Here is a 12,152-nt window from a genome sequence, read left to right on the forward strand (position 1 = left end):
TCCCTGAACATTGGAAGTCTAAAGAGCATGGATTTGGATGTCAAAACTGGGTCCAGATTGAAGTTATGACATGGACCACCTGTGAGAGCCTTAATTTCTTCCTGTGTGAATGTAAATAATACCTACCTCATGGGATTAAAAGAGAAAATAATATAAGAAAGCATATATCATATTATGTAACACATAGTAGCCTCTCAATAAAAGTTACTGGTTACTATTTTGGGCAGATCCAAACATTATGTTAATAAATTTCAATGGCTCCCACATTTTATTCTTTGGGGTGGCACATTCTGTAGAGATATCTTAGGGGCTACAGAGGGACAGTGATGGAGGGACTAAGGAAATAGTATCCAGGCTCTCTGCCCCACTTCCCAAGAAGCTCTGCTTATGTCTGTTTTATATCTAGGGCATCTGAGATTGTTTTACGGGGGAGAAAGAAGGCTTTATAAGTGCTTTCAGTTCAATTTATTAATTTTTCCCTCAATGAACCGTAGTTTTAGTGTTGTATCTAAGAAATCTTTGTATATCCCAAGGTCACAAAGGTTTTCTTCTAGAAGTTTTTATGATTTAGAGTTTTAAATTTAGGCGTATGATCAATTTTTTAGTCCATTTTTGTTTATGGTAAGAGGTGTGGTGTATTAGTTTGCTAGGACTGCCATAAAGCATCACAGATTAAGTGGCTTAAAAAATAGAAATATATTTTTTCACAATTCTTGAGGCTGGAAGTCTGAGATCTAGGTGTAAGCAGGGTTGGTTTCTTCTGAGGCCTCTCTTCTTGCCTTATAGATGGCCATCTTCTCCTTATGTCTTCATGTGGTCTCTTCTCTCTGCCTGTCCCTGTCCAACTTTCCTCTTCTTATAAAGACATCAGCCATATTGGGTTAGGACCTACCCAAATGAACTCATTTTAACTTAATTACTTCTTTAAAGACTATTTCCAAATGCAGTCATATTCTGAGGTACTGGAAGTCAGGACTTTAACATATGAATTTGGGGGGTACATAACTGAGCTTATAATTCATGGATGAAAGTGTTTTTTTCCCATATGGATATTCAATTGTACTAGTGTGGTTTGCTGCAAAGAACCTCCTTTTTCACTGAATTGCCTTTGTACCTTTCTCAAGAAACAGCTGTCCATATAAATATGGGTTGATTTCTGCACTCCCTGTTTCGTTCCACTGAACTATTTGTCTATCTTTGCTCTAATATCATACTGTCTGGATTACTTCCATTTTATAATATGTTTTAGAATTGACAAACTGGACTTCCTCAAAATGAAACATTTCTGCTCTTCAAAAGACACTGTTAAGGGAATGAAAGGACAAGTCACAGACAGGGAGAATATATATATATACACATACACATCTGCAAAAAGTAGAGCTGATATGGGACTACTCATATCCAGAATATATAAAAAACTCTAAGATATAAATAATAAGAAGGTAACCTAATAAAAAAGGACAAAAGATTTGAACAGATACTTCACCAAAAAAGATATGTGACTAGCAAATAAGCACATGAAAATATACTCAACATTATTAGTCATTAGAGAAATGTAAAATAAAACCACAATGAGACACCAATACACACATATTAGGAATATAAAAAGACTGACCATATCAAGTGTTGGTGAACATACAGAGGAACTAGAACTCTCATATACTTTTGGTGGGAATGTAAACTGGTACAACCACTTTGAAAAACAACTTGGCAGTTTAAAAAAGTTAAACATACACTTACATGGTCCAGCCATTCTATTACTAGAAATGAAAGCATATGCCCATATAAAGAGTACAAATAAATGTTTTACTTGTTATAGCCCTCCTTGTTATAGGAGTTTTACTTGTTATAGCCCCAAACTGGAAGCAACCCAAATCTCCATCAATAAGTGATTGGATAAATGAACTGTGTTATATCTATATTATTCAGCAATAAAAAAGAATGAACTATTAGTGAATGCTACCACATGAGTGATTGCAAAATAAATATGCTGGATGATAGAAGCCAGGTATAAGACGCAAACATGCTAAATGATTCCATTTGTATCAAACTCTAAAACATGCAAACTAATGTACAATAACAGAAAACAGATCAGTGCCAGTGGTAGAAGGGTAGGAGGAAAGGAACACCAAGGAGCCTGAAGAACCTTCTGGGAGTGTTCCTTATAATACGTTCATTATCTTAACATATATTCATTCAGTTAAGGAACACATGTTCATTATTTTAACTGTGATAATGGTCTTATGGATGTAAACATATGTCAAAACTTATTAAATTATATATGTTAAATATGTGCAGTCTATTATATGTTAATTATATTTCAGTACAGCTGCTAAAAAAGTGATAAAAAACATTTGGGCCAAATATGAAAAACCCAAGACTAAAGTGAAAAATTACAAGACTGTTACTGATCAATGTTCAGGCCTATTAAAATTTCCCCTATCCCAATGGCACTTGGGCAACTACTTTTCTTGTATACTTTAGGAAGTATCTAATTCAGACAGGGGACTAAGAAGAGACTCTTCACAGTGCTTGCTGATAGCCCCAAAATGCAGCATGAAACCACCCAAATGCCAAGACAAATTGAGAAAGGTTGACCTTTAAAATATGTAGAGTTCAGTACCTTTGAATTAAATTGCATGTTCAGCTTTGGTTCTAGTTGCTAGAGGCTACTTTTTTCAAGTCCACAATTGGCTCCCCCAACTGCGTTTGAAATTCAGTAAAACCAGCCTTTGCACCTGCCTTTGTTAAAATCTGTACCTAAATTGTTTGGAACAAGAAAGAATAGTAACTAGAAGCAGATTTACTGCAGTCTGGACTTAGTTGTTTGGGTGACCTCTTTTTGCTGGTTTTCTGGGTTGATTAGACTTTGCTAATTGACAGAGTGTTTGGCGCAATAGCCCAGGCAGAGCCATTCTGCTCTGGACTTGGATTTGGTACAAGTATTCCTGGTGGTCAAGTCATGTATTTTCTAGTTTGGAAACAGACGTTGGAACAGGACTGCTGGAGCAGGTTTGCAGGATTCTATGGTGGAGAAACTATAATGACTTTCAAAAACATGGGCCAAGGTAATTTGGCTGTCTTTTCATTCCCATCTCTAAAAGAAAGAACCCACCAAAGTTCAGAGCATCTTAAACATTTTGAAGTTGTGACAGTGAATGTGAATAATTGGTGTCTGTGGGACTCTAAGGGTAGAAAGCAGGGCTTACTAGTGCTTCTTCTTATTTAACAGAGAAGAGCCTGGAAAAAAAAAAACCTATAGTCAGACATAAACATTTCAGCCTTATTTATTTTCAACCAGGGAATAGCTAATACCACGATGCTGTAAAGTTCTTGCATTTAAATGTCCTATTTCACAGGTCCAAACCCATGTTCCACATAGTAGTATTATAATAGCACCATGGAGACTATCCAGTAGGATCCTGAAAGTCTTCTTACCCACTCTTTTCCATTTTGCTAAGCACCTGGTTAAATTAAAATTCCAAACAGTATTATTCAGAGACAGCATGGAACAGCGGATTCTTAATTCTGGCCCCCCCATTCATCAAGCACACATAGGCCAGGCAATGCATTTAGCACTGGAGATACTGAAGTAAGGGATTGCCTCTGCCTTCAATGAACCTTTGGTCTAGAGATGGAGACTGAGAAATAAACAGGAAATTCTAAGCAGAGTGCTGTGTACGATGGAGAAAGTCCTAAACAGAGTAATATTGGGACCTGTAGGAGGCCCTCCCACTCCAAACCATGAGGGTCAGGCAAGGCTTCCCAAAAGGTAAGAGTTACCTCCTCAAAGAAGCGGGGGAAATTGTCTCTTACTACTCTATGACAATGAGCAAATCACTCAAATTCTCTGACTCTCTCTTTTGGAAGAAATAACATTTACTGGTTGCTTTTGAGGATTGAATCAGATGAGATATAGAAAAGCCCTTAGCCCAGTGCTTGCTAGGGGAAAGATCAATATTGGTTTTCATCTTTCCTTTCTTTTTTCCTCCCCTCCTACCTCCATCAGGTGGGGAGTGTGACTTCCGGAGCACACTACACAGAGGAGACTTTTGGAGGGTTTTTAGTTGTCATCTCTGTCACTTGGTGTTTATCTTCCTGCTTCTAGTTCATTAGGGCCTTTTTCTTCTGATGCTGGCTTGGGCTGTGTTTATGTCTTTCATGTGCTTCTGTGACACTTCATCAGGGGAAGTGGCTGGCCCTCTGAGCAACTGCTGGAGGCGTTGGGAAGATGGGAATCAAATGCAGCCTCTGTAGGTGGGTGTGGAACAGAACAGCAGTGTGGCCCTGTGCATGTGTCAGGGGCAGGCAGCAGCCATCATCTGTCCTCATGTCCTGCCTGTGGGGTCTGATGAGAAAAGAATGAGTTAGTAATGAAGTAGAGAGGAGAGAGAGCTGAGTGCTAAGTGGAGAATAAAATCATCTTCAAGTATAACTCAGGTTTACTCTGGAGCTGTGTATCCTGCAAATAGTACAGTATTCCCACTCTTGGCCAGGCACTAACAGCTGTGGAAGCAAATGGTGTAACTGCCTTTAGGGGGCGTTCTGACTGGCCAGCAGGCATTACTGATGCAGGGAAGCAATGCAGAAAACTCCACGGCAAGCTGGGCACACTTTGCTCTCTGTTGCTCTGTGTGTCCTTTGGTTTATTTTTCTGTGTACTCTCCCCTCCTAAGAAGACTGTGCTCTTTCCAAACCCAAATCACCTTCTTATGTTGCAAATCCACCTAACCGTCAGAATTTTTTCCTGCACAGCTGTCACAACAAACTTCCCCTCATCTGCTACTAAATGTATCAGACACTGTTGTGCAGTCTGTGAGCTGCCGACTCATTATCCGAGGGCTTTCCAATAGAATCTGATGTTATCCAAAGCTTCTCATCTGTTTCAAAGGGAACAATTTCCTGCGTTCTCTGGAGGGAAATCAAACGCACTACGTTTAGGAAGTAGGACGGTCCTTCACAGATTTAGTAGATCGCAAGGCAATTATGGGCTGATTATTCCCAACTTAGTGTTTCCTCACCTCATTTCCCATAACAGCGACTAGAGTGACCTGAAGATGGGCTTTTTGTCTTTCCAGTGAGACATCGGGAAATAAATCACAAAAATCAAGATAAGTTGTGGTACCTTTGATTTCCCTCTGTCCTCTTCCCAAGCCGTTTTTGGCACTCCCTAGAGGAAACCAGTTCTCCTCTCCTCTTTTACTTCTGCAGTGGGCACTTGGGCTCCAAGTATCTTTTTTTTTTTTAAGTTCATCTTCATCATCCTTTAAATTAAACACCTACTCCCCTGATAAATATGATGCTCTTTTTAACAATTAGTCTTTGGATATAGAAGTTGCTGATGAGGAAAAATCCCTTTCAGCTGGTTACCTATGCTTTTTTTTTTTTTTTTTTTTTTTTTTGAGACGGACTCTCACTCCGTTGCCCAGGCTGGAGTGCAATGGTGCGATATCAGCTCACTGCTGCCGATGCTTCCCAGATTCAAGCGATTCTCCTGCCTCAGCTTCCCAAGTAGCTGGGATTACAGGCATGCGCCACCATGCTCGGCTAATTTATGGTATTTTTAGTAGAGACAGGGTTTCACATGTTGGCCAGGCTGGTCTCGAACCCCTAACCTCAGATGATCCACCCACCTCGGCCTTCCAAAGTCCTGGGATTTCAGGTGTGAGCCACCGTGCCCGGCCCCATGCTTCTTTATACTAGTTCTTTCCTCCCTTCTCACCTCCAGCCTGGGATGTGGTCTCCACTATGGTCTTTATTCCATACTCCAAATTTGTCTCTTTCCAAGTATCTTCCTAATTCCTTTTTTTAAAGTTACCTTTTTAATTTCCTGCCGTGAAACATCTGCTGTATCATCTTGCTTCCGCCACTTCCTAGAAAACTTGTTTTATGAATGTTCTTTCTCCTCAGTATAATTTTCCTGGCTGTGCCCTGATGTAGTGCTACAATAGTTTTATTTTACATTGACTGATTAAGCACTTTGAATAATTGTTTTAGCTCCATTATGGCAAATCTATTTGGCTTAACACTTTTTTTTTTTTTTGCAACCTTTGATTAATGCCTGACCATTGGGACAGAAAGGAATTGGCGCATTAATTTCCCCTTGACGCCACGGAGAGCTGCTCTTTTTCCTGTGCAAGAGCCTGAAGCAACAGATGCTCTGTGTTCGTATTGCAGGGGAGAGCACACACTGTTGCAAATAAGTATGTGTGTGTTCCCGGTCAGTGTTTGCTAATGGTGCTGTGTGGCAGCCATTTCATAGCAGAGAGCAAATGTTAGGATTTAGGGAAAATTGTACCAGCATATCAGATTTTAAAACGGAATGGTGAATTTTTGTTGAGTTAACAGTGTGTAGCTAGACGATGTTTTCTTTCTAAGCTCATGAAACTTAACAGCTGTTTAGTGAAGCAGTATTTTCATATATGCCTGTTTGACAGGTTTAATAGCAAATTTTGCAGTAAGTGACTTGCTGAACAGGACTTCTGGCTTGGGCTGTAACAAGAACTGTATTTGCAGCAAGATTCATTGAGGGTCTTTGTGCTTTAGTGTTTACGGGAAGGGGAAGCCTGGCTAAAGTGAGGAAAACTGAAAGGCATAATCCAAAGGAAATTACTAATATCTCTACCAGAGTATTCCTCAGAACTTGTTATTAACTAGTTTAGAGGAAGATAACATGGGGAAAACATGCTGTTTAGCAATAAAAACACATGAGTACAATCAGCTTACTGTAACCCATTATTGCTGCATAGTAATTAAATCTATATATCTCCAACTTTATAGTTTTCTGCAGCAGAATCTCTGAAAGACTTCTGCACTTCATCTGATTCAAGGAAGCCTATATTCTCTCCCCTGTCTCTGGAAAGGCTACTGTGCCTTGTAATAGCTTTTTAATATTGCCAGATCGAAGACAAATGCTTCACTGGTTTTACTGGGAGAAATAAAGCACTTCCTATTACACTTATAGGGGGGATCCAAGTCTTGGGAAACTAGCACTTTATGAGGTTAGAATCCCTTTTCCTTTCTTCCCATTTTTGAGTTCTCTCAGATCGTAGGACCTCAGAATCACTCATTCCTAGGGCTACCCACTTTGTATTTGGCTCCTAAGTGCATTTTTCAGGATTTATCTGTGCTTTTATTGATTGCATGTGCTTAGTTATACCTGCTGATTGTGGGTGTGTGCATGTATGACAGAATCACAGATCATAGACCCCTGTTCTCCAGGGCAGCCACCCTCATGGTCAGCCCAGCATCCTCAGCTAACAAAAGGACCAAGAGCTGTCTTACATCCTCTTTGGATTTCCGCATAGATTTTGCAAGCCGTAAATACAAAATTTGTCTAGAGTTCATAGTTGGTTCTGTTTACTGGATTTTTTTTTTTTTTTTTTTTTTTGAGACAGGGTCTGGCTCTGTTGCCCATGGTGGAATGCAGTGGTGCAATATTGACTCTGTGCAGCCTTCGCCTCCTGGGCTCAAACAATTCTCACACCTCAGCCTCCAGAGTAGTGGGGACTACAGACACGTGCCACCATGCCTGCCTAATTTTTGCATTTTTGTGGGGGGTGGGTAGAGATGGGGTTTCACCACTGTTTCTTAAGCAGCATGTAAGGGAGCTTCATATTTGTTTGTCTCAGTCCCATCATGATGTAGGTCAAAAGCAAGTTACATTCAGCTAGCTGTATGACAAAGATGCCTCCTTTTGAACAGTAAGAATTTAGGCTTTGTTGTTTTATACACTCAGGCAACTTGAAAAGGATAAAAGAAAGGTGGAGAAAAGAATAGTAAAGTGAGCTCAATTAATTTTCTAAGAAGGCAAACTAAAAACTTCTCACATGTAAACAGTAAGATGTCAGGGACACAAAATGAGTTAGCCCGTGTTGCTGGGATGAGGAGGGATAGCAGAGAAATGGCCATATGATGTCTGAGAGTGTGGCCAGTGGGAGGAGAGGGGTCTACTGGTGGACTTCTCTCAGCAGGTTGTCACCTCCACACTTTCTCATCCAGAGCTCCTGGGATTCCCTCTAGGAAGGAATCATTATACCATTTGCCCTGCTCCCATCATCTCACTAACCTGCTATCACTGTAGTAACTCCAAGAACCAGTGAGACAAGAAAGAGGGATGTCATGAGCTGCCTCTGCACAACTGTTGAATTCAATTTTCTTTCTTCAAGACTCCTTCCCCCATGTTTCTCTAATGCCCACACTTTATTCAGGATGTTGTGTTCAGTAGCAGAGACATTTGAAATGAAGCTTCCTTATCATGGCTTTTAGGAAAAATAATGGCAAAACTATTGGATACAGGTGAATTCTAGTCCAATATGGTAGGAGAGGTGAGCCTGGAATTGCCCTTTTTACATATCCTGCAGTCTGATTCTAATAAAAGTAGACACAGTTCTGGTACACTACTATGTGGTTATTTCCAGAAATATAAATGAGTGTTATTTTATATATATATATTATATATATATAAAATATATAATATGTACATATATAGTATTGAACCGACAGTAGGTACTTATGCCTTCTAAAAATGTAGTAGTAAGTGAACATAGGCAGGCAATATAGGAGGTGATACCTGAATTAGTTTTGAAAGGCTCTAGCACAGCCACCAGGCATACAATTAGGGAGGAGAAGTGGATGTACATTCTATACCGAAGAATAGTTCCCTCCTTATAACCCAAAGAACAGTGCTGAATACATCTTACATGCTTTGTAAATAGGTACTGTCTTGAGCTGTTGTAACAAAGAGAACATATTGGAGAAGAGGAGGCTGGAGGCAGGGAGATCAGTTAGGAGATTATTGTGGTAGTTCAGGTTGAAGCAATATATATATATTATATATATATAAATATATATATTTATATATTTTAATGTTTATAAATATATAAATATATAAAACATTATATTTTAATGTTTAAACTTTTAAAAAATCAGATAGGTAGGACTTCCTTTTTCTTTTTTAAATAATAACTATGGAAGTGCAGAAATAATAGAGATTCTATTGTGCTCTTTACCTGGCTTCCCCATTGGAACATCTCTACAACTCTAGTAGAATGTCAAAACCAGGAAATTGCCATTGGTACAATCTATAGACTTTATTTAGGTTTCAGGAGCTGTTTCTAGGTGGGACTTTCTAAGGATTGCAAACCCCATGGCTTTTTCTTTTTAAGCAGGTAGAATTGAGGGTGCAGTGGAAGCAAAGGCTCATGTCTGGTCTCTTCCTTTCTTTCTGTATTGCCCTCCTATCCCCCATCATGTGAAAAATAGATACTAGAAAACTCATATCAAAAAGTACAGTCTGGATGCTTACTTTGCAGGGTAGTATGTTAGGTGCCCAGGAGGACATGAATGACTATAAGAAGAAATGGTTCTGTAATTTGGAATCGTTTGTTTATACAGAAAGATTCAGCTCAAGACAGTACCTATTTACAAAGCATGTAAGATGTATTCAGCACTGTTCTTTGGGTTATAAAGAGGGAACTATTATTCGGTGTAGAATGTACATCCACTTCTCCTCCCTAATTTTATGCCTGGTGGCTGTGCTAGAGCCTTTCAAAACTAATTCAGGTATCACCTCCTATATTGCCTGCCTATGTTCACTTACTACTACATTTTTAGCAGGCATGAGTACCTACTAACTGTCGGTTCAATACTAGATCCCAGGGGTTCAAACATGGATTCTACACATTCTCTACCCACAATGAGTTCACAGTTTAGTGGAAGAGAGAGACATTTAAGGAGGAAAATGCAGTAGAGTGTTATCAGAGGTATAAGTAGAGGTATGAGTAGGGTATATCTTGAATGCTGTGGGGTTTGAACAAAGGAGGAAAAAATGAATTTCTTTAGAAGAGAGATAACTGTTGTAACAAAGAGAACATATTGGAGAAGAGGAGGCTGGAGGCAGGGAGATCAGTTAGGAGATTATTGTGGTAGTTCAGGTTGAAGAAAGATAACTGAAACCAAGGTGGAGAGGAAGACCTAGGGGAAGGGATGGGTTTGGGGGCTACTTAGGAGCTAAATTTAAGAGCACTTACTGATTAACTGACTATAGAGTTGAAAAGAGTGAGGTGTCCAAAATGGTCCCAGATGATGGGGTGGTGGAAGTGCCATGCACCAAGAGGGAGAGTCTGGGAGAAGATCAGACTCTGGAAGAAAACTCTTGACGGGGTATGGATGTATTGAGTTTGGGGTGTCTGTGGGATGTCCAAACTGAGAGAGCTCACTCAGTTATAGATGAGCTCAAATGATATATGGTGCCTTGATGTGAATGACTTTGCCAGTTAAAGTATGTAGTAGGACAAGAAGATCAAGGAGAAGCCTTAGGAATCACTAAAATTTAAAGGACAGATGGGGGAAGGGACCCTGCAGGAGAGATTAAGAAGGAGAGCAGAGTGAGAGGAAGAAGAGTGTTTGGAAAACGAGAGGCAGTCAACAATATAAAATGTTTTAGATGTCAGATATGATAGAAATTGAAATGTTTTCATTGGAGTTAGGGACAAAGGACATTCTTATTGACCTGTGTGAGTTCAATTTCAGCTGGCTGGTTGCAGGAGACAGCAAAACAGTAGATCAAGTAGTGATTTTTAACTATGAAACAATTAAGAGTTTGGTATAAGGCAATTTAGTTAAGTGCTAACATGGAGTGTAAAGAAAAGTGTAATTGATATTAATTATTTAAGAAAATCCATAATAGAATGTTAGAGCAGAAATGCCACCCCATTTTTAAATATAAAGAGAGATTTCAAGTAAATTGTTCAAGGTCATGCATCTAAAGAGGAACAGCCAGGACCAGGTCCCAGGTCTGTTTACTCCCTTTATAAAAGAAAATTCTGGATAGACTAGTTTAAAGGAGCAAATGAATGTCTGTTGCAGGAAAAGTGATTGTTAAAATGATGAATCAGAGCTGTATACTTCTATTGTGAAATATAACTACTTGTTTGATGAATTTATTCATGTATTCTATAAATATTAATAGATATTGTGCTATTTGTTTAATATGCAAAGACAAATAAACAATTAGTTGTAGAGAACATGCTTGGTGAATTTTATAAAAGTAAAATATTATCGCCATTAAGTGATATAGTCTAGCAGGGTGACAGACACAAAAATGGTATCATACAATGTGCAATTGAAAAGGCAGGAAATAGTTTTGCCTAGGAGTTGGAGACTAGTGAGCTGAATCTTGCATCATGATTGTGATTTCTCCAAATGGAGAAAGGATTAAAGGGAACTTTCAACAAAGGGAACAGTATGAACAAAATCAGACCAGTATAAAGAAAGTCTATAACTTCACAGACTGTTAAACAGCCTGGTGGGGATACGATATAAAGGTAGGGAAATAACAAAGAATTATTTTGAAGACTAGAAAAGTATTAGTTTGTTTGTGCTGCTATAACAAAATACCTGAGACTGAGTAATTTACAAAGAACAGAAATTTGTTTTCTCACAGTTCTGCAGTCTGGGAAGTTTAAGATCAAGGCACCAGCATTCGGTGTCTGATGAGGGCTGCTTTCAGCCTCTAGGATGGCACCCTGTGGCTGCATCCTTTGGAGGGGATGAATCCTACATCCTCACACATGGAAGGGACAGAAGAGCAAGAGAGTGCTTCCTTCAACTTCTAGCCTTTTTATAAGGCTGTTAATCCCAGGCATGAGGACAAAGCCCTCATGACTTAATTATCTCCCAAAGGCCACACCTCTTAATACTGTTGCAGGGGATTACATTTCAACATGGGCCAGGTATGATGGCTCAGACCTCTAATCACAGCACTTTGGGAGGCCGAGGTGGGCAGATCACCTGAGGTCAGGAGTTCAAGACCAGCCTTGCCAACATGGTAAAATCCCATCTCTACTAAAAATAGAAAAATTAGCCGGGCACAGTGGTGCATGCCTGTAATCCCAGCTACTCAGGAGACTGAGACAGGGGAATTGCTTGAACCCAGGAGGCAGAGATTGCAGTGACCCAAGACTGTGCCATTGCACTCCAGCCTGGGTGACAGAGCGAGACTCAGTCTCAAAAAAAAAAAAAAAGTTTCAACATGAATTTTGGAGGGGACACCATCTCAAACCATAGCAAAATTCATAACCATAATACTGAACAGTAAATAGTGGGGAAACAGATGTTTTAAGCCAAGGTGTCCTTTGATCTGGGCTTAA

At 39.5% G+C, this 12,152-nt stretch overlaps 1 protein-coding gene across 1 annotated transcript in view; it reads left to right on the plus strand.

Moving 5' to 3' along the window:
• CPQ (carboxypeptidase Q) overlaps positions 1 to 12,152 on the plus strand; it is a 498,260-nt gene that overhangs the window by 117,018 nt on the left and 369,090 nt on the right. The gene's annotated exons all lie outside the window — the stretch shown is intronic.

The sequence above is a fragment of the Homo sapiens genome, chromosome 8, assembly GCF_000001405.40.
Source record: "Homo sapiens chromosome 8, GRCh38.p14 Primary Assembly".
Lineage (NCBI taxonomy): Eukaryota > Metazoa > Chordata > Mammalia > Primates > Hominidae > Homo > Homo sapiens.